Raw genomic sequence first — 26959 nt, forward strand, 5'->3', positions numbered from 1 at the left:
AATCAGAACAGTCTGTAATATAAAGAAGAGATTCTGTTTTCCTTTCACAATTTTTTTTTTCTGGGAAACCTAATTTTAAGTTGCTCACATCAAGTGATGTGGATGAAAAGGGATAGATACCCAATAGATTCTCAGAAGCATTAGCCTGCCCCTTACTACTATTAGTGAGTGGTGCCTCTAATCCTCAAATGTTTATTTCTTAAAATCCTAGCACATGAAACAGTTATGGTTTGTTTTCTTTCAAGAAACAGTTGGCATTTCATGTTGGACTCTTGCTTGACATGAATTATTTGGCAAATTAGGGACTGAAGTGTGAATTATAAACTCAGAGCTATATAATGGACCTCAGGGGTATTCTAGGGACAGATATTTTAGTAGGGACTTCACAAAAAATTTTATTGAGAAAGAAATGATGCTTTTGCATACTCATGAAGCATATAAAACATGTATTTTGCACAAGTATGATACTTCTTTATACACACACACACACACACACATATCCACACTCTTTATGGTGTCTCTGTGTTTTATTTTCATGTGCCCACGACTCTCATTAATGGTGATAACCCTCTGTATATACCTCTAGAAAATAATGGAGCCTGACTGTGAGAACTGTCTGTATTCAAACATGTTAAGAGCTGAATATTTAAAATTTGTTTGGCTCACCAAGCTTGGCTTTCTGAAGACAACAGAAGTGGGATAGAGAGATCAAAAAGAAAAAAAAAATCATAAAAGGTAATAACATCTAGATGGGTCCTGGGTAATGCTCTAATTGAATGTACTTACATCTAAGTCTTATCACATGCTTAGGAGTGAGCGCTTAGATGCCTCTTTCAAACTGCAACATTAGTCAGTCACCGGGGCCTTGCGTGGAAGCTGTCACCTCCACTGTGATTCAGCTCTGTTCTATATGTGTACCTACCTATAATCTATCCTACTTTCTTTCACTGAATGGGCTTCTGCTATTTTGCTGTTAAGATAGTAATGTGAAATAAGGTTGTCCTTTGACCTTACAAAGAGACACATGTTCTTTAAAATGGGCTTGAAAATAATCAGTTCATGCCACTTAGAAGAAGCAGGCTACGAGATTCTCTTGTTTTGTTCTTGGCTTATAGGTTATGATGAGTATAGTCAGAAACCCCATATACTTTTCTCGTCATTCAGGCAGTCTTTTGACGTCCTTTCCCTTCTGAACATAATAGAAGCTCTCCCTGAGTAGAAACCACAAGGCAGCTTTTTCAGAAGTCACCAAGTTAAGCAATTTTGACTTCGGAAAGAGTTTCTAAAGCCTATATTAATTGCTCAGTCCTAGCTAAATTAGCATGACCTGAAATATTTTTAAAGTGCTGGGATTAGGACAAGAAACAGTATGAAAGGAGGTAACTGTATTTTCTAGGTTGTTTTTTGTTTGTGTGCGGAGTTTTGAAACGTCACGCAATCTCTTATTAGTTTCTTTCTAAAAAATAAAGAATACAAATGCTAGATATTTAGAAGAAGCTGTTTGGCAGTGCGCAGATATGTTCTACACATCTCATTACCATTAACAGGCATGCATGGCTAAACCTCCCCCTATTGCACTGAGGATTTACCCTCTGGCTTTGTTAAGTGATGCCTGAGTGTGGATTTTACAAAGGAGTTTCATAACCATTTTCTACACTATGCAGCACACCTACTATATCAGAATATGCTTCTTGGGTGAATGGTAGCGATTAATGAGAATCGATGTGTATTCAAAAAAAATTCAAAGAGCTTGTATATTAAGTCTTCTGGGGAAGGAGAGTTCCATCTCTTATTTTAACTAAATGACAAGCTACTTTTTGTTTTTCTATTCCTTGTCTTCTAGTATTGCTAAACAATCAAATGCAAGGTATTTTGTCTTCTTTCACTCCTTAAAAGAAAATCAATCAATTAATACACAAAGATAAAAGTGAGAAACCTACTGTAATCTACTAAGGTCCAGGAATTTAAAGAATCAAATGTACCTTCTGGGTTTCGGAATCCATCGGGGAGAATGTAGAGTAAGTTATTTTTCTCTGACCTTCCCTAATTTTGTCTCACTGCCTTAGATATATTTCAGACACTGGTGCAGTACTGGGGGTGGGAGGTGTTTTGGGGTGCTTGAGAAAGCAGTGGGATCTAAAAAAGAGACACCAAAGACTCTAGCCTCTAGGGAAATAGGTCTGTTGGGGTGGCTTTTTGTGCAGGTTTTCAATGTGCCACACCCCTTTGCAAAAGGTTGGGACCCCTTGGCTTTATTCACCCGGTTTGTGTTGGAGTATATATATTTACACTCGGGATGTTTTGAGCAACCCTTATTCCTCTCTTTTTAAATCGGCTGCACTGTTCATCTTGAATATCAAGGTTTTCCTATACTTGCTAAGTCTTGCTCATGTAATCTAATGCTTCATTTCTTCCCCAAAAAATAAGACATTTGCATCAAATTCAGCATTTCAATAGCAAGAATCCCTCTTTGTAAAAGACACAGGATTAGTTTCTGCTGTGAGTTTATCTGTATCATCTCCATTTATTTCTCAGGGGTGATGAGAAGACTTTGCATTTGACCAAAAAGCACTAGTAAATAAGGAGTTAAAATGAAGGCAGGCTCGCTGGTTTGCTGAGATCTGTCAGAGTCTGACTGGCTGGCTACATATCTGTCTCTGGAACAATAGGTACCTGTATTCTGCACGGACTGCTGGGCAGCACTAGCACTCTGGAGAAGGTCTGCCGCTGTCTGCACTTTCCTGGTGAGAATCCCCAATGACAGTCCCACTTTTCAGTGGAGGAGAACAAAATATCTGTCTACTCTCTTGAAGAAGGACACGGCTTTGATCATATTTGTTCAGGCTTGACTTGGCCGGAGGTTTTAGGTTCTTAGTCTCAAGTCAGCAGTCTCTCTCTCTCTCTCTCTCTCTCTCTCTCTCTCTCTCTCTGAAACACACACACACAGAGACGCACACACACACAAGCACACACATACACAAGCGCAAATCCTCTCTTTCTCTTTCTCTCATTTCCCGTCATAGGTTCTATGCAGGCAGATGAGTGTCACAGCTGTAACTGAGGCACAGAGCAGTACACACAGTGGAGCCGATTTCCGCGATGGCGAGAGGGGGCACCGGAGGTGACAACAATAACAAGACTGTCCTTCGGACAAGTTTTAGGTAAGAAAATATTTATGCCCTGATTCTTGTATTTCTGCACTTTGTGTCTGCAACATTGGGATAGAAAGCAACTCTGGATAGGGAAATATCTTTGTGAGGGTATCATCTGTGCTGTCACTTGCCTGCAAACCTGTGTTCTCCGGGCTTTGTGTTACTGGAATCGTCGGAGGTGAAGTGTGAGCGGAGCTGAGTGGAAGGGTGAGCTGCTTTTTGTGTCTGTCTGGTGATATTCAGCACGCTGTTTAAATTTATATCTGGAAAAAAATTCTGTTTGATGATAGTTAGCAATGTTTTGTGCAACGTAGAAGAGCATATGGCCATGCAGAATTCAAGGGATGCTCTTTCATTCTTAATTTGTAATTATTTTTACACTCAACTGTACTGAGGTCAGAGAGTTTCAAAAATTAATGAGATTCCCTGTGGAGTTCAAATAGTAATATCTACGTGAGCTGTCACAAAAAGATAAGATTATGATGGTATGTTTTCAACATAGATTTAACTGTCTTATTTGGAACATACTCCATTTGAAATATATATGAAATGTACAATAGTTTATGGAAGCCTATATGTTTTTGGAAATTAGTTGGTTTTTTTTAATGATGAGGAGAAATTGACTCAAAATTAGACTGTAGAGGATGAACACTTTGTGTAGAGATATTACTAAAACTTAATAGACATTGTTATGGCAATAGAGAATATCTTATACTTTCGAGGAAATAAGAAATAATGAATGAGTCGCACGCTAAAAAGAAATCTGCAAATGTGTTTTCATTTCAAGTAATACAAAAAAACTCAGCAGATATTTATAGTGAAACATTGCTGGCATGAACAAAGAAGCAAGTGTACACATAGATGAGAATTCTTTGTCACAAAAATGAGTCCAGGACATCGATTTAGGAGGTTAAGTGATTTTTATGTTCTTAGTGCCCCACAAAAGGGAGTCTATTGGGATGAGTCCAGACATTTAAAAATGTACCAAAAACTTTCATTTCCCACAATTTAAAAGCATTGTTTATGTTCCTGATACAACACATTGTTTAAATGAGGGGGACCGAAAAGCAGTCTGAATATGCAGTAATCGGGGCTAAAGATGGTTTTTATCCCCAGGTCCCCATTTACAAGATCCATTCGGAGCTTCCTGTGATATATTGTTATGTAAATACTGTTCAGCCAGGGAAAGCAGTACTATGGAGATTCAATTTACTTTGAAAGTTGTTCATTATAGCAGGGATGAATGTTATTTATTTGATGTGATTCAAAGGCTGGAAATGACTTTTTCATTGTGGCACCTTTTGTAATGGGTGCAGGGTGATCTAATCTTTTTAATTTTGGCTTTCACACCAGTGGAGATGAAAAGAGATCTGAACTCATTTATCGGTTGCTAGGTCCTTCTGGAGGCCCAAGTCCTGTTGGTGGTTGCTATGGCCAGTCTGACCTCAATCTCCGTGGTTTTGGGGACTTAGCAGTCTTTTTTTCTTATTGAGGAGCATGTACCTTGATTTATGTCCAAAATCGTGGCTGAACGTCTTTGTCTGCAAGTGATAAATGGTGCCGAGCAATTCATCAGTTCTTACAAGTAAACACTGCTGTCCCACTAAAAATATGTTTTGTTCTGAGTTAATGGTATGGAACAAGGCAGCCTCCACAAACAGCTATCTTTTATTGTGGAGGGGCCACTGAAACTTGGAGCAAAGTGGAGGAGATTGGCATTCATTTTCTTGTACATTAGCATTTCATTTGTGATTCGGATGATGCAGCTCTAGGTGGATTGACTATGAAAGGGTGAGCCTTCCATCTCCTTACCTTCTCTCTAGTTGGGGTGCCTGTGAAACCGGCAGGCTCTCTCCAAATGCCTGGATTCTGCTGGGGGAGTAAGAAGTCAGGAGTAGTTTGTCTGATGGTATTGGGATCTGCTTTGCAATTGCCAAGCGCTAAGGCACAAGCTGGCAGATGTGCTGCGGCTCTGCTACGGGCGGCTCTGTCGCCTTCAGTCGCAGGCTGGTTCTTTGGGGGAAAGTTGTATCCAATATTGGTGACTCCCGGGAATAGTCTGTTTGTGTGCTACTTAATGGTCTCTAGGCTTCCTTGTCTTGTAGAACCTTGTTAGAAAGGAGCCTTGGTGATTAAGAGGCTATGGAGTACACAGCCTTGCTTAGCAGATGAGCCCTTATCCATTTCCCGTTTCCTTAAAAACGGCTAATTGATGGATGCTGCAGAAAACATGCACTCTGCTAATAAGATGCTGATGACAAAATAGGTATCAGGAAAGGCATTTACTGCTTATGAGCACCATCAGCTTTCTTTCGAGTGAGATTGTGGCTTTGTAGTAAAGTTTTTTTTTAAGTAATATGCTAATAGTTTTATTCTAAATCGGCCAGCGCTGAATATCTTCAGGAAAATGGGTTCCATGAGAAGTGACATCCTCCTCGAATCAAAAGGTAAAAATTCAACATTTTTAAAAGTGCAATTTTCAAACCGTTTCCTCTACTTCTTGCCAGTAGCATTGGAAAACTGCTCTCTAATTATAATTATTTAAAATTTGATTTTTTAAAAATATTAAAGGTTTAAAGAGAAGAGCTTAGAGAATTTGATTGTTAGTCATTTTCTGAAGATTGGCTAGCTTTGGTGATAAAATGCAAGCAGGTGCTCCCTCTGTTTCCCTTCAGCCTTGAAAATAAGCAGCTTTTTATTTCTTTAGAGACAATGATCATTTTGGAGATCAATAAAAGTAATATTTATTTTATGTGGATTTTATTTCTAGAACTAGTAAATTAAGAACCAGGGTTAGGTGATGTCAAAAGGTCTCTTCTGGCTTGAAAATTCTTTACGAAGTACCAATTTTCTAAAGGAGCCAATAAGCATGCCTATATTATTGTAATCGCACTTATTCAACCAATGTTTAGCTTTCTTTAGTAGAGCAGCAGCAAAAGTTCCATGCTTCGGCGTACAAGTAATCATTGTGGCTTGAAGTAATTTCCAAATAATTGATTTTTGAAGGTATTAAAAAAGCCCTGATATGTTAGTGCTTTATTAACTCTGGGGTTTTACAGAGCTCAACTTGTGGCTCCTTTACTTGGGTTTCTTACTTCAAGTCCTCTTGAAGGTAATATTTTATATAAGTGGTTAATTTCCCAAGATTTAATTTTAGGTATTTGGAGACAAGTACTCCTCGGTATGTATCTATTATGTATATGAACACATTTTAATATAAAGTGTCTTATAAATTTCACATTGTGTTTTGCTTTGCTGTTATTTCAAAGGATCTAAGTGAATGGTGGATAGTGCTCAATTTCCTGAAATGATTAAATTCACTCTCTGAAGAATCTGGGGAAAAGGCCTGTAATGACATTTTGATGACTTTCATTTTAAGGTGTAATAGAAATTGAGTAAAATGTTTTAATAGCTGTTCTCTAATATCTCGTTCCAAATACAATGTTTTTATTGCTCATTCTAGCTTACAATTTTCTGGTGATAATAATGTTGGCTGGTAATTGTTTCTTGTATAGAAATCATTTTATCCTTATGTAAAAGTTATTTCAGAAAAGTCTTCATGCATTTATCTCAGCTCAAGCAATTGCATTGAACTCTTGAGATAAAACAGTGAGTATTTCCAGATTGCGCCTACTTTAATTTGACACTTCCTTAGGAGAATTAGGAGTGTCTTAAAGGGAAGAATATTTGATATGATAGTTTGTAGTTTAAGGAGAAAAACCAAAGAGGCATGCAAGTCAGAGAAAGCTGAGAAAAGAAGGAAACAAGGAGTAAATACTATGAGTGATTTTACTTTGCTTGGTTTTACTTTGTTTGCCAGATGTCATATATATTTTAAAATTTAAAATTGGACTAAGAAATAAAAAGTGCATGTAAATATGCTGTTGTTATAGCTATCTTCTTTATTAAATAGGTAAGTGCAGAGATATAAACGTGATAAGATTACCGCTAATGTTACCAGGAACATCTTTGCACCTCAATTCTTTCAGGAGATGTACACACAAGTAACGTTAATCACATAGCTTTTAAAGAATCATATCTTTTGGGAGCTAAAGTTATGACATATTAGATCAATTTTCATGTAAGTCAAAATGAAATCCTGACATCAATTTTTCTGTACAAGTTACACAAAGCCAATAGCTTCCAGACTGCATTGTTATAAATGCTAATTAGACAAATTTTTATACAATTTAACTTGATTATAGTAAATAATTAGTCAGAATATAATATTGCTGAATTAACACACCATTAGTGTAATTTTTTAGAGAAGTAAAATTAAGCTCTGGCATCTGATTACATTATCCTCTCCTGATATGTTTACTACATTTCTCCAAGTTTGCTTTCTTCTTGTCATTATGTTCCTTTTCAAATACCACTATTACAGACCAGCTATTATAATACTTACTTATAGTTTCTTTCTGCCTACTATAATTCTGCCTTTGTCTTTGTGCTGTGCCATTATTCTTATCTGTCACCTAGAAAGTTGTATTGAATTTGATGCTATTTATCTGACCCATTTGCCTGAATTTGGGAGAGGCGGGGGAAAGGCTAAAACCTGGTTCATTAGAAATTGTGTATGAAGTGCTAAAAGATTTGAATTGGCTTTGGTATGTTCATGGGATTGATATTAGGATATGGATTTTCTTAGTAGTAGCCAGTTATTTGTGTAATTCAATAAAATCTTTTTTTCAGCTATCTTGGTTTATTTTCCACAAAACAGAGCATCATCTAGGAAATTTATTATAAAGAATGCACTGCCAGGGAGGGGCCCTCTTAGATAGCTAGTAAAAATATCACTCTGAGTTACTGTTCTACCTTGTTGGCAAGGATTCATGGTAAAGCTTTATCTACAGGTTTTGTATTTAATCATCTTTGTGATCCAACAGCAAATTTTCATTTGTTTCACTATCAGTTGGATAGCTGTTGTTTAAATGCTACCAGAATGATTTAAGAAAAAAGTTATCCTAAAAAGCTTAATTACACAATCTAGGACTCACTAATAATTTATTCAGATTTTAAAATATGAACATTGTATTTGCTTAATGGTGTTTATAATCTCTTTTTCAAGAGAAGGGCTATATAGACTCGTTACGTCCCTGAATCCTTCTAAAGTTGCTAGACTTTATGATCCTATAATACTACACTGTATATTGTACAAAACCTTTTTGCATCCTTACTAATATCTCTAAGCTGTTCATTCATGCCCTTTATGTTAGTTGACATTATTTAAGCACAGTGTTCTTGTGATTTATAAGTCTGTGAATTTCCTGTGTTTTTCTGACAATTGAGTTCATAGTTCAAATGCAGTTACTGAAGTATACTAGTAGGTTAGTAGTTTCCTTAGAGAGATACAAGGTAACACACAGTGGTCAGGAACATATGGTTTGTAGTTAATTATCACGATCTCAAGTGTTTTAATATAGTTTACCGTAGAGATCCTAAAACATGCAGAATTTCCAGAAAATATTTAAAGAAGAATTCAATTTGCTAGAAATTGGAAACATGGAAGTCAAATGAATTATTTTAAAAATCTCCTCCCATATGGATTTAGAAAGCATTCATTTATTCATTCACTCATGCATCAAATGTTGGTTCAGTGCCTACCGTGTGCCAGACACTATTCTTGTGGCTCTTGATTTGTCACCATTAGTTCAGTATTTAATATATTTTCCTGATTTTGTAGATTATGGGAATCTTACTAGTGATTTATACATCATCATGAATCACACATCGCAATCCAAATTATTTTGGAGCATATATTTCTCTTTTCTACTCTTTAAATGGCTTAAGATATATATATTCTAGGCATATATACCAATTTAGTAAAAGGGGAAAGATTTATACAATCTGAAGAGAAACCAGTGTGTGTGTGTGTGTGTGTGTGTGTGTGTGTGTGTGTGTATGTGTGTATATATATACACATTTACTATATATATAATTGTATACAATATATATAAATGTATACAGTATATACAATTTAGAAGAAGATATTGGTAAAACAGTCAGAATGTGCTTCAAGAAGTTATCTTATTGATATGTATTTAGAAAGTCTAAATTTATCCCATTTTCCTTATTATTCAGGCCCACTCTGCAGCAGACACTAAATTGGTTTTACTGTTTTTATGCTTCCTTCCAATGCTTCCTGTATTATTTTAAGGGATTTCTAATTCTAATTATGAATGGCTAACATTTACTTTCTATATGCCAGACAGTGTGCTAAGACCTTTACCTTCATTTTCTAATTTAATTTTCTCAGTCACTTTATGAGAATGGTATCATCATTACGTTTGTTTGTAGATGAGGAAACTGAGGTTTCGAGAAGTTAACTTCTTCAGGGTCACAGAGCTAACGAGCAGCTGAGATGACTTAAAATCTAGGTCCTTCAGGTGCCATTAATTTTTCTTGTTATTCAACACATATTATTGAGCCTCTGTAATGTCCTAGGCTTGTTCAAGATGTTCAGAATAAAGCAGTGGATAGAACAGGCTTTAAAGCCCTGTACTTTATTGCCCAAGTCAACGTCCTTAGAATACAGGTACCTCACAACTACCTTGAGGCTTTTATTATGTTATTTTCTTCTGCATTCAGGAATTCCCCAGAGCCAATAGGATACAATTTTAAAATGTCAAACCTTTTTAGATCTCATACCATTTGGCTTCAGTCCTTCTTTCCAACTGTATCATTGTCTATTTCTAAATAGGGATGGTCTACACTGTAAGGCTGATTTGCTCATTGCCCCCACAAAATTTGTCTTGCATTTTCTCTGTTCATTCCTGCACCTGAAATAATTTTGCCACTGCCTTCTCAAAGCCCTCAAACCTTCAATGTCTGGGTCAAAGCCGTTGGCTCCCAGGAAGCCTGTTTTAGAAATTAAATCCCCAAGTTCTTTTATCTGCATTGATTATTTAACACCTGACAGTTGCAACAACTAAGATGATTTGAGCGAGATAATGCTCCACATTTTTTACCGTGTCTGTGTTTGTAGGTGTGCCCAACTGACATACTGGCTAAGAGTTCAGGGTCCCAGCAGTGAAATAAGAGAAGAATATTAAAAAGATAGGACCCGAAGACTAGGAAGTAAGAGCCTCCACTGCCTAGCACGGTGCCTGGCATAGGGTATGCAGTTCATACATGTTTTAGGCCAGGAAAAAGGAGAGGAGGGGAGGGAGGAGGAAGAGAATGACAATGGAGGAAAGCTTGCAGGGAAGGAGAAAATAATACTCCTAAAATCATAACCTAAGGCCTTTAAAGATCTTTAAATATTTATATTAGGGTTAGAGATATCATTAAGGAATATATTAATATATGCAATACATTTTTGATTCTTCCTGGAATAGATTGTCACTTTTATCTATATTAATACATTTGATATAGAATGGACTTTCTGGAGTTTCTAAGGGAAAGTGCAATTGTGTTGTGTTTGTGTGTTTTCCATCACAATTCAGGCCTACAATGCTGTTAACTCTAAGTTGATTTTGTTGTTTTACACTCTAAGTGATTATTTTTCTGTTTCCTGGGATATATTTCAGTATCATAAAAGTTGCTGACCACCCACCACTCCCCAAAAAAGAGCCATTTCCTTAACCATCATAAAGTTTTATTAGCTAATACCTCATGTTGGGTTTTTATTTTCAATAAAAGCCGAATTCAACATTCAAACTCCTAGTGCAAATCTCCTCTATCAATAAACAGTACTTGTGGTTAATTTTATTTATATTTTTGCTTGATTATATGCAAAGGTGTAGCCTCGAAATCTTAAGAGAGATACGTGTCTGCATTTTTATGAACACGCAAACCAAGTTATTAAGATAGAAATTTTACTTCATAGGAAAATCCAGGTGGATATTTAAAAAAATCAAGTACTACATCTGACCTCTGCTGTAAGGCTGTTTTACTGGCTGTAAGAGTCAGATTAATGTAGATAGATATAAATATAGATAGGGCTTCCTTCAAGGAGGTATTACTTTTGCATAATATATGTGTAGCGTGTGTTAATTTTCCTGGGTGAAGCAAGCTAGAAAAGTTGCTTCTTAAACCAGTGACTGTAACAGGTTGTGTGTACCCTCTAACTTATATGGGAGGACCCTGCTGAAGCAGCCCCATTCTTTGGGAATTCCTACCTGCTAGTGGAGATAAGTGAGCATAAAGCTTTGGCCCTGAGGCTTTGAGCTGTCCTGCTTTTAAGAAACAAGAGATATTTCCACAGTCTGTCTTGTAGTAGTAGTAGCTGAACAGCCCGTGAGAGTTCCAGAAATGAACTGTGCTCCAAATGCTTATCACATGCTGTGTTGATGTCGGTAAAATGCAGAGGATGAGCTGGGCTCCCCTTTAACCCTAACTTTCTATGGTGATTTCATTTTGACACTAATTTCAGGCATAAACCTTGGCCCTTAGCTACAGTGTGTAACTGTTGGCATCTCACTGCCACCTGGGTGCACAATGAGAATAGCAAATGGAGAACAATATTTAGCCTCTGTGATTTGCCATAAGAACGCACAACATGCAGTTGGAAAGGGAAATATTTAATCAGCCACTTTTCTCAATGCAGTCGCCATCAGTTGAGTTGGTTGAAGATTTTTTTTCCTCCATATTAACGGCTTGTTTTGTCACTGTGAAGATAGATCCTTTGGCTTCCTCTTGAATTCTTATTATGCAAATTTGGGGACATTGCATATTAATTTGAACCTACAAGCATAAAGGAGATATTTTATGCCAAATTCATAGCTCACTTTGGTCAAAAGATTTTTTTAAAAAGCTCCTGGAGTCCTCTGTTTTGTTAGTTGGCCGTGGACTTAATATGTGAAAGGCTGTAAGTGACGCACGAATAATACCATTCCATTTTTAGGCATGTTGTATGATGATGCTGTTGATCTTTAAAAGAAATTCCATTTGGTGACATTTACAGAAATAGTTTTGTGTTAGCAGCTTTTAATTTTAATTTTAAAAAATATTGAGAATGGTGTAACTTTCAAGTGGTGAGGAAGTCATCTAGAAGGTACATACTTACGTAATGGAAACGGGAGACATACATGGACTCTCATCAGATGTTGTGCTTATATTCAATCCAGGGAAACGGTTTGACAAGTAAGAATATGGTATAGTGCAGAATGCCAGTATAAACAGGCAGATCGCCTTAAAGACTCAGATCCATTTTATTTTAAGCCTGATGTTTTTAAAGTGCTAGGAAGATCCGAATCCAGAGTCAAGTAGTCCTCACTTGAATCCTGCTGATTCAGTGCAATGCAGTCCAGTCCGTGACAATTAACTCAGTTACTTACTGATTGGATCTCTAATATTTATAAACACTTTAAACTCCTCCAGTCAATTATCTCTTTGAGAATATTATTTTATCTTTTGGTTGGGTAACTAAAATAAGATAAATGGGTACATATGACAAAGAATTTCTGGTTCTTTCCCACAAAAGAAAATATTTCAAAGAGTTCAGAATTTCTACATGGTTTGGAAATGTAATTTTTCATTCCAAATTGGGTAAAAGTTGGTATAGTGTACAATCTTTTAGACTAAAATGGTTTTGCTTTGACCCCAATAATCACAATTATTATTATAACTTCGGAAAGATTTTCAATCATTCATTCACTCAATCATTCAATTGGCTTTTTTTCTTAATTATCTCATCTGAACAGTGTTGCTAATGGCACTGTGAAGGATTTTATAAAAGGAGAAAATATAATCGTTCTCTCATCAACTGTAGTAGAATTGGAGAGAAAAGAAAACCTTGAAGAACTAATTGAATAATATAATAAAATTACTGTTAGCAATCATACTTTAGTAGTGTGAAGGGAAAAGCTATTTCTGCACAGGTAGGAAGCAGTATTAACAATCAAATACAACTTTTAGGCTCAGAATATAGGTTCAGATTATTTGTTGTGAGAATAATGAGAATATTCAGAATAAAGGCTAATTCTTGGAAATGGATTTTAGAATTTTCAACTGATTTCATCAGCAAAAACATAAGGCTTTCATTTCATAAAAACTTTAAAAAATGTAACTATGTCATCCTGTTAGTGATTAATTCAACTGTCTAAAAATTACAAATATTTTACTTTATTGAAGGTTTATAGTAAAATACGTGTGTGTGTTTCGAAGGCTGGGGGCTTGGTGGATTTATTGGTGCCCTTATTCAACTTTGCAATAGTCTTCCATAGTTTGGACATGAATGTAAATTGAACTGTTTTAAAAATAGTTTACATCATTGCTTGTGCCTATCTTTTGAAATATGTCAACTTCCTCACTATCTTGAGAAGATAGGCTAACACATTCTATGTGATGGAAAACTTTTCAAAGCTGTCTTTCACATCCCAGGATGTGTAAAGCCCTGCCCATAGCTTCATTCTCTGGCAGAAATATTATACCATTTACCCACATAGATAAAAACACTATTCCAAATAAAACTTAACATTAAGCAAAGAGCTTTGGTATTGGTTCAATTCTCGCTTTCTATCTCAAATAGGAAAGTTTACTATTTTAAGGAAAAACAACTTTGTATGCATGTTCATAATCATTTTCCAGGAAAGCCAAAGATTAGCAGGCCAAAAAGAATTGGAAAACTTCACTTTAAAAGCCTTGACATTTTTGCCCTTAGTTACCTGTGTGTTGAAAAGCAAAGGCCTAGTAATGACTTAATTATTCTCTTCTTTTCTCTGGTGGAGTTTGTGTTTTGTAGATGTAGAAAAAAGAGCCTTGACTATTTCTGGCTTCTCTGCCCAGGGAAGGGAAGAATTGGCTAAAAAAATACACATTCCTAGTAGACATTTCTTATTGACAGTGTACGGTATTCTGTGAGCTGGGGAAGACAGATACCCTTTTATTGGGGGCAGGGGGAGGATGTAGCAAAGGACCAATTTTCCTGGAGATCCTATTACGTGAAGGGACTTATACTGGACACATCATGGAGAAAATCAGAAAGAAGGCTGCTTAATAAGACCCACTCCTGGATGCGGCCACTCTCAATTCTCAGTGTCTTTGGGAAGCAAGGTTCGCCATCCACTTGTCTAAACAGATGATGATAGCAGAGGTGCTGCACACCTTCTCCCTGTGACTTGTGAATGCCTTTCGTGCTCCCAAATAAGGAACTCCTCTCACTGCTGTCTGCTCTGAGCTGTATTTCATTTTGATAGCCATTTGCAGGGGACACCTTTGAACTCCATGCAATGTAAAAGATGTGGTTGAGAAATTCTTCAATGGAATTTCTTCCCCTTTTCCCCCACCCTCATTTTCCTCTGGGTGATTTACAGCTTGAACATTAGGTACTTAGAGACAGTATGTCTGACCTACCTTTAAAAATACACATTAAGACACACACAATTTGAAGAAAAAAGAAGCCAAAAAAAAAAAAAAAAAAAAACCTTGAGAAGGACAAAGGATTATATATTGAGGAAATATAGTATATGGTTAAATTCAGAAATCAGAAGAGTTGAAAGAAAATATGTGGAAAAAAAATTGTTTTTATTGAATTACAGATTCAGCTATTCCCAGTTTCACTTTCACTTGCTGGATCATAATGTCCAATGTCTTCTTCAAATTTAATTTTAGTGTCATGTCTCTAAAGTAAATATGTTTGAGAGTAGGCATACTCACTTTGTTACTATTAGGAGACGATACACCTCTTTGGTACATCTCCAGTGTACTCATTCATAATAATTTAACTTTGACATAAATTGCTCATTGCCTTCTGTCTTTTCCCCAATAAAGTAGCCAAAGTATTTTGAGTAATGTTGCTTCCGAAAACAAATACAACTTCTTAGCTTTCATCTTGAAATATTTAAACGTGAAATCTAAATTGCAGTGCTACATCAATCAGTGTCCAGCAGCACAAATTGATTGTCTTGTCCATATCTTGTCAGTAATCAGTGAGTTTCTACTTCTCAGGTGCATGTTTACTTTTCTAGGCTACATTGATCAGTCATGGTTTCAGCCATTTTTACCTTGGAGTTTGTGCCCTGTGATTTGAGGGCATTGGAAGGCTTTTGAAGGTCTAATATTCTAGTATTTGCGCATACACTTTCAAGAGAGGGTGATTGGAACACAGGCATCTATGTCTGATGGCATTTGGAAGATCTTCTCAGCTGATGTCACCTTTTCTTTCTCACCTTGGGGCTGTAAGAGAAGCAGCAACCTCTGTGGTAGGAAGAGTACAGCCTTTGGAGTCAAACCAAATTAGATTAAAATTCCAGACCTACTACGACCATGGACCAATTGCTTAGTATGTTTGAAACACAGTTTCTTCCTCTGTAAAATAAGGATTATAATAACGATTATAATACCCACCTTAGTATCTTTTTTTTTGTTTTTTTTTTTTACCATTTCCCACATGTCAGGCATCATTTTCACATGGACTAAAGGCAAACATTATGATCCTTCACACTTTACAGGTTACTATACAGAGGTTTAGAGAGGTTAAAAGAAAAAAACACCCAAGAACACACATAGTTGTTAAGTAGTGGGTCCTCTTGTTGATTATCTTATTCCAGTAGAATTTGTTTTTAGGAAAGGACATGCAGGTTTCAAAAATATATACATAATAAATATGTTTCCCAAATGCGATTTAGTTTAAGCCCTTGGTTATGATATTAGAGATATACTAAAGTATTAATACTACAGTGTTAAAGCTGTAATTTCTATTTCACCCACGTTGCTGCATCACATACTGACGTTGTTTGAGAGTGTGCTTTTAAGTGGCTGTGGAGGACTATATGCTATGAGAGCTGCTTTATGCTTTTCTTTTTGAAGATGTTGATGGTGCTCTCATCTTGATGAGCACAACTCCTTTTCAGTAAAGATTCTGGATAAATGTCTGTTGCATGGAATTGAATGCTAGTCTATAAGGCAATTTTTATACCTTAGATGAAGAGTGGATGCCATTTGCAGAAGAGCTTGACATTCTCAGGGAGTCATTTTATAGCCTAAAAGAATTTTATATTTGTGATTATATGACTCTTGATAAAGAATAAAAAAAAGAGAATGATTTACTGGGAATTTAAAAGTTTCATTCTACTGTGGCTTCATCTGCTGCCCATTTGCAGGACACTGATAACTTCAGCTTCTTCTCCTGCTTCATCTGCAGGCTCTTGAAGTCTGTGGGATGCCCAAGTGTGTATAGAAACTCGGAAATAGCACAGTCCCTCTGGTTAAGAATAACATGTCAGTTTTCTTCTCTTGCTTTTGTGTGCTCTCTGGAGCTCACCCATGCATGATGTTCCAGTGGACTTCAAAGGCAAGTCTATGGTTGGATTAGCTCCACAGGACAGAGAGCAAGGTAAGAAATAGGCTTAGTGCTATCAAGGCCCACTGGGGAGCTGATAGAGCCGAGCTATGTGGTTTCCAAAATGATTTGTTCATTCATGTCCTCATGGAAGAATAGGCAAATTTGCATAATACTTTCTATTTTATTATCACCATTAAAATTTCTGCATTTTCAAAATGGTGTCTGGACAGTACTCCAAAAGGCTGATTTATAGCTATATAATACCTGCACTTGAGGGGTTGAAGATCTAAAAAAAGAGATATAGATATAATAAATTTGGAATTAGAAAATACTACTAAAGTCATAAAGACATAAAATATTCAAATCATAGGGTAATTTGGGATATTAAGAAAGGAATGGAGGAAAGAATGGTGTGTACTTCAGAAATTGCAACTAAGGGATATTTGCTTTCCAGAGGTTGCTAGCAAAGATGGGCTTCTTATAGAATTCTAGAGCCAGGCATTACTGAGGAAAGGAAGGTGGAAGATTAAGTGATTTAAAGACTTAGGAAAGACTTTAGGGGAAGGTTTAGAAATAAAATAGGAATGGTTAGATGATGAGGGTACGGAGGTGACTTGACTGAGAAGAATATGGCAGACTAACGAGGGTTAAGAGACATAGTGCATGGGGCAGAGTCAGGTGCCCACATGCGCTTTGAAGTTAGGAAAGCCAGCAATATAAAATATCAACGTGGAAACCTAAGGAGGAAGTAGATGTGGTGAGGTCCATGGATAAGCAGTGGAAGCAAACCTAGCAATCCTGCTGAGCATTGATAATAGGCTTTTTCATGAAGACTTGGAGCCATGGAAAGGCAGATGAAGAATCTTAATTTTCAGAAATCAAAAGACCAGATAAGAAAGGCCACAATAATCCAGGTGACAGTGCAACAGATCCAGGACTGAAACTATAGCTATGATGTGAAAACCAAAAAGGGGGATAAATTTAATAGTTGTAAAAAATTATATAAAACAAAATAACAACAACATCAGCACAATTTAACACTACAGAGAGGAGGATTCAGAAACATTAAAGGATAGAAAAAAATTAAAAACTGGTCATAGGTTTTGCTTCTGTGATAGAAAAGCTACTCATAGAGCAGGACTGAGTAAGAATACGCAGGATCCCAGCAAACCTTTAAGGGAACAAACATACTTAATGCATGGTTTTTCCTCTGTCTCTGCAATGAGGAAGAGAAAGGATAAGGTTATTTCTTTGCACTGTGATTTATTCCATTTTATCTTCAGGATCACAAGTATGTGTTGCTTAACTTTATATAAAGCTAAAAGCACTTTTTAATTGTGTAGTTCCCCTCTGCCAGTTCTTTGAGGTCATTTTATTCAGCATTGTCTAGGGAGACACGGCAGAGAGAAATTGCAATCTGTGTGGTAAAGAAATCCGTAGACTTGGTATGACTGAATGTCAGGTTGAATCTCAGCTGTGGTTATATCCTTCTAAGTGAATAGAGCAGAAACAGAAATGAATTATTTGTCTCCAGAAATTGTCTTTCTGTCTTTGCTTTTGGAGACAGTGGCATATGTACTAAGGCTGGAACAATTCTGCTTTGATTTGTCATCAAACACTTGGTATTGGGCTTTGAAAGGGAAGGAAAATATTGTGTAATTCAAATGAGCTTTTCATTTGAAAATGGAAGGCTCTTTGTATAGCTATCGTTCCTAATTATCAGTAGATATTTCTCTTCTAAGATGTACACCATAATTTTATGACCTGAGAACTACTCGATATTTGCTTCAGTATCTATAAAACACATTTTGATTTAATTTCTTACATCGTAGAAAGTATAACCAGATTATCTGTAGTCTTCTCTTAACTGAAAATTCTGGTAGAGGAAACCATGAAGTGGAAGCATCTCATTTCATTGTCGTAAGGAAGGCTGAACTTGGAAAAAGGACTTGTTTAAGGTCACACAGCTAGGTAGTGACAGAGCCAGGGAAGTCTCAAAGCTATTTATACCCAGATGAGCCTCCTTTAACTTATGGTGTACTGTCCCTTCTCAGTGTAGGAGATTCTGAACTGTAGACAAACACCAGTGAGTATAATTGGCATTCCCCAATAAATCAGGTATCAGTTTGGATGTTTCATAGTGTGCCCATACACCTATCATACAAGCATTATTATAAATAAAGTGTAAGCACTCTGATAGTGACTGACAGGGCTTAAATAGGAGTTAAAAAAGAGACTTTTAGTGAACACTAATTATTTAAGAAATTGCCTTTTGTCTGATTTCCTTAGGAGATTTAACAAGAAAACAATACATCTGACTCCATTTTATTCCATGTTTTGCTTGCTGTAGAGCCTGCCATCCTAGGACCAGGGCAAATTGCTCCCAAATTTTCTCAAATGGAAAAGAGAAGCAGAGCAGCCTCTAGTAGAGCTGTGGTCTGGGTTGGCACTCGGGCACCAGTGCTCCGTGGCTCAAGTGCATCCATCCATCCTCATGTTTCTTTTGTCCCAAATGCCCTCTCCCTTGTCCTGGTCCCTCTCCATTATTATTCTGATCGCTCTCCTCATCTCATTCAAACCTCTTGAAAATTTGGTGTATCTGTACTTTGGGTGTTTCCTTGTCTTTGCTTTTTTTTTTTTTTTTTTTTTTTTGAGACAAGGTCTCACTCTCTTGCCCAGCCTGGAGTGCAGTGGCACAGTCATAGCCCGCTGCAGCCTCAAACTCCTGGGCTCAAGCAATCTTCCCACCTCAGCCTCCCAAGGAGCTAGGACTACAGGTGCACACACCACTGTACCTGCCTAATTCTTTTATTTTATTAATTTTTTTGTAGAGATGGGGGTCTCTGTATGTTGCCCAGGCTATTCTACAACTCCTGGCCTCGAGTTATCCTCCTGCCTTGGCCTCCCAAAGTACTGAGATTATAGGCGTGAGCCACAATGCCCAGTCTTTACTTTGTTTTACAATTCCCAGCATCTGGCTTCTGCTCCTACCTTACTACTGATGAACCAGTAGTTCCTGAATTGCTAAATCCAGTGGGCTTTTAAATTATTTCCTAGATCTCTCTGTGCATTTGACCCCATTGATAGCTCCCTCCCTCTGAAAGTTGCCCATTCCCCTGGCTTCCACTGTACCATACCCTCTGGGTGGTCTTCTAATTATGTCTTTTTGCCTCCTTCCTGGACTTCCCTTCTTCCTCTTCCCCTGGGTTCATCCTCAGCCCGTTGCTCTTGCCCTGTACACTTTTCCTCAGTACTTTCATCCACCATCATGGTTTGTAGCTACTCAGACATTTTATTTGTAGTCCAGTCTCTTGTCTGCAGTTCAGACTCAAATATCCAACTGCTTGCCATGTCCAACAGGCACCCTCCAACCTAACGTGTGCAAACTAACCTCATCATCATCCCCCTTAACGTAGTTTCTCATTCTATGCTTTCTGTCTCATTTTGTGGCACTGCTGTCGACTCATTCATCTAAACTAGAAACCCAAGAATCACTTTTGGCTCTTTTTTGCCCACTTTTGTTTTCCATATCAAACCCAGTACCAGGAACTGCTAATTTTTCTTTTCTTTTCTTTTCTTTTTTCTTTTTTTTTCTTTTTTTTTGAGACAGAGTTTCGCTCTGTCACCCAGGTTAGAGTGCAGTGGCCTGATCTCGGCTCACTGCAAGCTCTGCCTGCGGGTTCATGCCATTCTCTTGCCTCAGCCTCCCGAGTAGCTGGGACTACAGGCGCCCACCACCACGCCTGGCTAATTTTTTTGTATTTTTAGTAGAGACGGGGTTTCACCGTGTTAGCTAGGATGGTCTCAATCTTCTGACCTCGTGATCTGCCCGCCTCAGCCTTCCAAAGTGCTGGGATTAGGGAACTGCTAATTTTTCACACTAAACGTTTCGTGAATCCATCTGCAAGGCTCACGATCACTACCACTGTTGTAGTTCAGAACTACTGCTACTTGTGATGTTTCATCTCTTGCTTGGACATCTGCACCATACAAATGACCTTTCTTCCATCAGCCTTGTCACCATGCGATCCACCTAACATGCAACCCAAAGCAGACCTGCTGTGTGCAAGCTTAAAACCCTCTAGTGTTTCCCTACTCTGCCAGATAAAGCACAAAATATTCCCAAGCTAAATTCTAGCCTTAAATCTGCTGCTTCCTCCCTCTTTCTAGTCTTATCTCTAACAATTTCCTGTCTTGCACTTTGCTTTCCAGCTACATGCAACAGCTTGGAATTCTACACATGAACCATATTATTTCTTTGCACATACTGTCTACTTTGCCTCTAAGTCTCTTCTCACTCTTCTTTCCTGGCCCACTCCTACTTTTTCTTCAGTCAACACAAGTGTGTCACCTCCTCCAAGAAACTTTCCCTTATGTGTCCTGTCCCCACCCCCATCCCAACTATCCTTAGCCTTATCAATACCCCGTACATAATCCAGTCATTACATTAATTATATCAGTATCCAATTTATGTTAACCTGAGCTATACAGTTCATTGATAGCTGTTAGCAACTTATTTTCTTCAACTAAATTCAGACTTCCTTGAATAAGAATTTGGCACAGAACTGGAACGATCTTTGTCTGTTCCACTGCTGATAATTGAGTCATGAAGTTGTTCATGTAAGGATGCATTTATATATTTTTTAACTTTTAATTTTTTTTCTTTCATTTCTTCTGAGGAAGAGCAAACAAGTCACAGATACAAGTATCTGTCCTCTTCTCTTATGACATCCATACTTTATGTATATTTTACTCCAAAAAGAGGCTAAAATTAAGGAAGATGAAGTTATTGGCTTGCATGGAGCATCATAGTGTCAAAGTGTCACAAGAATGTGTTTTCTGTTTCCAGAACAATCCTCTTACTATTTTATTACCTTGTTTCTCTGTGATTTTTTAAACATTTAAAGGTCTATTTTATGTTAGCTTTATTCAGTCACATACTAAGAACACGGATTTCCCAGGGTGGCCAGTTACCATGCCAAAGAAAGGCTTTTAAAAGCTTTATTTATCCACATTTCAGATATATTTTTTTCATACCGAGAAATAGCATGCTGAGCTTTGCTGTCCCCAAAAATACTACACATGCTATTTTCTCAGGAAGAAGAGTGAGGTTTATTTTTTGTTAATGAAATGCCAAACAAGCCTGGCCGGTGTGCCAGGCAGAATTAAATTGCAGCATCTTTGGCAGTAGTCTTCATTGTTCCATCCGTGCAAGTGTTTTATGAAAATTTAGCTGAAGCATTTTAAAAAAATGTTTTGGCCAGATTCTTTTTAGAATAAAGTTGGGACATTCAGAAATTTGGGCAGTACTCATGATATTATAAATATTTCCAAGACTGGCTAAATAAGCCCCATTGTGATCTTACTCATTTGATTCAGGCTGCTCTTTCCACATCCATCTCGAAACTTCAGCCCTTGGCCAACACGAGCATGAATGTAGTGGCAAAGTTCAGATTTACAAACATTGTTTGTAAAGCCATTCTATTTTTAATTTAAATTCCCTCAACCTATGTTTTACAACACTGTTTATTCACTGTCTCTTTTTGTTCCTCCTAATATCAGAGAAGGAACAAACATACATGCCTTAAGGAATCCCTTTGGAAACCAAAGTTTCCAAAAAGCACACATCAAAATGGAAAATAGACAAAAAATACATTCCAGTTTTTAAGTACATTGTCCAGTTTTTATTAACGTCTTGGGGATTGGCAAACTTTTACTGAGCTAGTTTAGTGAGCATTTTAGTTTTTGTGGAGAATATGAGGTCTATTATGAATACTCTTCTCTTCTGTGGTAGCTCGAAAGCAGCCAGAGACAATACCTAAAGAGAAGAGTGTGACTGTGTTCCAGTAAAACTTTATTGACACAAACAGGCAGCAGCCTGGGTTGGGCCACTGGTAATGGTTTGCCAGCCCTCCATGTAGCTTCCCATTACTCCTCATTACTTCCATTAGTAACTTTTTTTGTTTTGATTTTCGACATCATGGAAATAAATATTAATGCTTTACTTCCGTCACGAGTAAAATTGTTGGTTATATCAAAGAAAAATGCAGGAATTTCTCAAAGATTAGAAAAAATTGATACTCTTTAAGATTTTAAAATTTATTTATTATTTAATTTATTTAATATTTAATTTATTTATTATTTATTTAATAAATTTATTTATTTAATATTTAATTTATTTATTATTTATTTAATAAATAAATTTATATTATTTATTTATTAAATAAATTTATATTATTTATTTATTAAATAAATTTATATTATTTATTTATTAAATAAATTTATATTATTTATTTATTAAATAAATTTATATTATTTATTTATTAAATAAATTTATTTATTTATTTGTTTATGGGGGTGATTAGTGCAGAGGAACCCAGAAGCCCCTCATGCCAAGCACCACCCAAGATTTTTTCTATTTTTGAAGTTCCTGCTTACACAACTGTAAGTTTCTTGAGGGGAGCAAATAGCTGAGAATTTGTCTCACACTTTCACCATGACCAGGTGCACGGCTCACGGGACAGTCATATTTTCAAATGAATGAATGAATGACTAGGCCACTGTATGCTATTGTCAGTTTGATAATATTGTAGACAAAATATCAGACCCGAATTTTTAGTTTCTTGGCCCTTTGTGCTCTGTTATTTCAAAGGTTCCCATATTAGTTGCACTAATAAAGGGCTAAAGAACCACGCTGTTGATGATGGTGAAAGTGGGATGTGCTTTCGCTTAAGCCCATGCTCTGAAACAGCTACTCATAGAGGTTTTTGTGGTAAGCATGTATAGATAGGTTTTTTAAAAGTAGGGTACGATTTTTATTTCTAGTGCTTTAAATCTGTTCAGTTAAAAACAAGAAGGAACATTCTTTTTGTGGTAAATGTGGGCTGACAGCAAGATGGATTTACTAGTATTTTCTATTCTTCAGACTTGAGGTTAACATGGGCATAATGTTCTGGATGAAGCTTTGGAAGTACTTGTGAAGGGTAAGTGGCCGTAAGCCAGAAAAGATGGCTATGTCCCTCCATTTAAAAATGTTCATTTTACAGAACAATGTGACCAACAGAAATTGGTAGGCTCGATGATTTAAAAAACTTGTAATTACACTCAGTGTTCTCTATGTGGAGGTGTTATGACTTATATCTCCTTTGTTTCTTTAAAAAATACTTGTAAAAATAATAGCTATATTGAAATTTAAATAGTGAAAAGGAGCTGTACCTCCTCCCTCCCCAATTCTACTTCTTTTCCCAGAAGTATTAATTGATTCTTGTCATTTCACACTTTTTTCTGTAAGTACACTTGTCTATGTGTGTATGTAAAGCCCAAGTGGGACAATATTATACTTAACGTTCTACAAATTGCTTTTCGACCTAATGTATGTAATGTATCATTCCATGCTAGCCAATGTAAACCTCCTTCATTCTATTTATTACTGTACTGCCCTTTATATAACCATTTTATACTTTTCTTTCTTTCTTCTTTAAGCACTATGGACTGTGCTTTGCTAATATTCTGAAGATACTTGTATTAGTTAATTAAGGAGATGGAAACAGCTCTTCTTCTTGTGGTGGGGAAATGAATATTTACCTTTATTAATCTAGTTCTACTTTTAAGTGATTTATGAATGATTGTTGATGGCGTTGTAGAGTTTTATAGCCCTCTGTCAAATATGTCCTCAGTTCTTACAGTGATATATTTTTGTATAAATGTGTGTGTCTATAGCAATACAACCATAAGAGCTATGCCTGCACATGCACGCACACTCACATATGCAGATTTATTTATTTCAAGTAGACAGTTCAGATGGCCAAGCTCAGAAGTGGATACCATTCTGACATGTATCTGTCTTTTGTGACAATGGCATCCTAACAGATATAGTGTGCAGATGCTGAGCTTTTAGAATATTCTACCATCCTACAATAATTGCTACATGCTTTTAGTCATATTAACAACAGCATCTTTAGCTTCCTATGTGCCGAAACCCTTTTACTATTCAGAGACAGCTATTTTTAAAATTTCAGAATTTGCTTGCAGCCTTATTCTCTGCAAGATCTTCCCATCTATTTCAACTGTGTCAAACTATGATAAAAACAGAAGAAAACAAGGATAGACTATACATGTCACTCATGTTGGCTGAGAAATAAGCTGAGAGAGCAAGAATTGGATGATGAAGGAATAAATGTAACATCATTTGAAAAAGAGCTCTTCTCTTTCAAGCTATATATAACTCTTCCATTGTAAACTAAGACTATTAATAACAATAATTATAATAATACCTTAGACTTCTCTAGTGCCATATAATTTACAGAGTCTTCCTTAGCTTTTAATTCCTTTCATCTTTTTGACAGTCTCATCAATTAGTCAGCACAGAGCTTATTATTTCCTCTCTACTTCCCCTTTCTGCAGTTATTTCTTGCTGCTCTTTCCACACCTGGTGCATCAGGGTCAGACACGTAGAAGACTTCCCAGCCTTGAACACTACCCACAAGGCATTATGTTTGGGCAACATGCTTGGTGATATGTTAGAATGTGGAAATTTGTGCTGAGGTTAACATCCCCTTAGGAGAATACAAATCATCAAAAAGCTCTGGTCAGATAACTTAGAATGATTGAAGTCATGCTGCATTTTTGAAATAGAGACCTGTGACTATTAAAAATGGATAGCATGGATTAATTCCAAAGATTTATTCTCAGTTATACCATAGAGTCATTTGCATTCCATCCATTTCTCTAGTAAATTAGCCACTGATAATCATAATTATGACCCTTAGGTACAATAAGACAATGAAATGCCTCCTGAATTATTAAAAAGTATTAATTTATGTCTACTCTATATGCAGTTTTTGAGTATTTTACTGCATTTCCACTCACTGAAAATTGGTTACCTGTACATATGATAGATACATAAGATTAAATTTTACTCATGGTAATATTTCATTAGAAGAAATTCCTATTCCTAGTGTTAAGCAAATGTGGTTATGTTATACACAGATTTCCTCTAGATTTCTGTTTGATATCCATGATCTTGACTGACTTGCTTGTTAGCTTTAGGTAATTACTTAAGAAAAATAATGCCAAGCATCTGCCTGATAATTTGTTATGAGCCGACATTGTCACATACATTATTTTATTTATTATATGAGCCCCCAAAGGCATTATTACCAGCATTTTATAAAATAAGCCTCAGGAAGCATAAACGGTTTGCTCAAAGCCACATAGCTAATAAGTGGCAAAGAGGAGACACAGTTCCATCTGTCCAAGTCAAGAACTTTTTCCATCAAGGCGCAGCCATCTTGGAAACTAGTCTCTCAGCATTTACATCAGGGCATTTCAGCAAGCCTTGGGCCTCTCCACATGTAGGCCCACCTGGCAGTGTGTCTTTTTAGAGCTTGTCCAAGCAGGTAATATCAGCCAACAAGTCAGAGATCCAGAAAGCTTGTAATCCTGATTATCTGTGCAAAGGGATAATGTTTCCCATAATACATTGCATTCCATCAACTTGGAGATAGGTACGCAGAATGCATCCTTTTGTAGAGACTGCTTTATTTATTCTACAATACTAGCAAGACCATGATAGAGTAGGACCCTTTGTAATAGTCTTTTACCATAGGTAAGAATGGTAAGCTTTGAAAAAAAATACAGGTATAGACATTCTCCATTTACCTTGGATACAAAACAAGTTTTCCGCCTTTGTCTGATAAAAAGAACAGGCAGTGCCCACTCTAAAGAGGCAATGTGAAATAAGAGAGAACTCTGAATGGGCTTGATAATCACCTCTGGCTTTTTAAAAAAATTCTAATCAGAAATCTGTTTTTAAACAAGCTGCCCTAATGTGAATAAGTGACATGGCTACCTTGAACATGCTCCTATGAAAAGCAGCAAAAGCAGGTGAGGGCCATCTTTGAGGAAGACAGACCTTTGCCATTAATATTAAATAATTATTTGTAAGAAACAAACGATGTCTGAAAGTAGGGCTGATCTAGAGAAATTGGAAACATTAGAGCAGGTTTCAACTTTTTCATGAGATATTACTGATACTGAATGTAAATTTCGAACCAGAATAAAGCTGATAACAAAGCAATACTACATTCATTCATTCTGGAATATTAAATAGAAATGGCTTCTGTATATATTAAGCCACTTATAATTATTTCTGACATGTTGAGTGTACTGGGGACAGAGAGAATAGAGGGTGATTGGGAGAAACGAATTTTTAATGGGATGTCAGTCTTTAAAGATTTGAATGAGTGGTCCCAGAAATGATCATTCTTTAAGTATGACATTGCCATTTAATAAACGAACAGAGAAAATATTGAAAGGAATTCTGTCAACATTCTGGAACGACTGTAATTTTGCACAATCAAGCAAAATGACAAGATCAAGCTTGATGTCATGCTATACGACTTGTAATTGTGTGAAATTATAAAACTTATGAACAAAAGGGAATGAGAAATGTGTAGCATTGGCATTGGGAGCAGCAGGGAGATGCGGAGCCTGAGATTCCAGTTCCGTCCCCTCTGACCTTGCTGATATGCAAATTGTTTCATTATGTAAAAAATAGCAGGGGTGAAACAATCAAGGTTTC

At 36.6% G+C, this 26959-nt stretch overlaps 1 long non-coding RNA gene across 52 annotated transcripts in view, besides 2 other annotated features; it reads left to right on the forward strand.

The window, feature by feature from the left end:
• The first annotated feature begins 2675 nt into the window (after positions 1–2675).
• The window catches only part of RMST (rhabdomyosarcoma 2 associated transcript), a 102232-nt gene continuing 77948 nt past the window's right edge, over positions 2676–26959 (forward strand). For 9 of the 52 annotated variants that reach the window (NR_186061.1, NR_186059.1, NR_186060.1 and 6 more), the window contains exons 1-2: positions 2676–2744; positions 3024–3161. This is a non-coding gene — a long non-coding RNA (rhabdomyosarcoma 2 associated transcript). Of the gene's footprint in view, positions 3162–4562; positions 4944–4964; positions 5600–23302; positions 23361–26959 lie in introns of those variants that run through there. The other 43 variants (NR_186077.1, NR_186079.1, NR_186069.1 and 40 more) reach the window with 8 other exon arrangements.
• Positions 4073–4896: an enhancer, noted in NCBI's record as "OCT4-NANOG-H3K27ac-H3K4me1 hESC enhancer chr12:97857979-97858802 (GRCh37/hg19 assembly coordinates)". NCBI's record gives its function as "activates a minimal SCP1, AML or CMV promoter by ChIP-STARR-seq in naive and primed H9 embryonic stem cells {active_cell/tissue: H9 hESC(naive and primed)}" and the evidence as "EXISTENCE:reporter gene assay evidence [ECO:0000049][PMID:30033119]".
• Positions 4897–5720: an enhancer, noted in NCBI's record as "OCT4-NANOG-H3K27ac-H3K4me1 hESC enhancer chr12:97858803-97859626 (GRCh37/hg19 assembly coordinates)". NCBI's record gives its function as "activates a minimal SCP1, AML or CMV promoter by ChIP-STARR-seq in naive and primed H9 embryonic stem cells {active_cell/tissue: H9 hESC(naive and primed)}" and the evidence as "EXISTENCE:reporter gene assay evidence [ECO:0000049][PMID:30033119]".

This window comes from Homo sapiens, chromosome 12 (assembly GCF_000001405.40).
Source record: "Homo sapiens chromosome 12, GRCh38.p14 Primary Assembly".
Taxonomy (NCBI): Eukaryota; Metazoa; Chordata; class Mammalia; order Primates; family Hominidae; genus Homo; species Homo sapiens.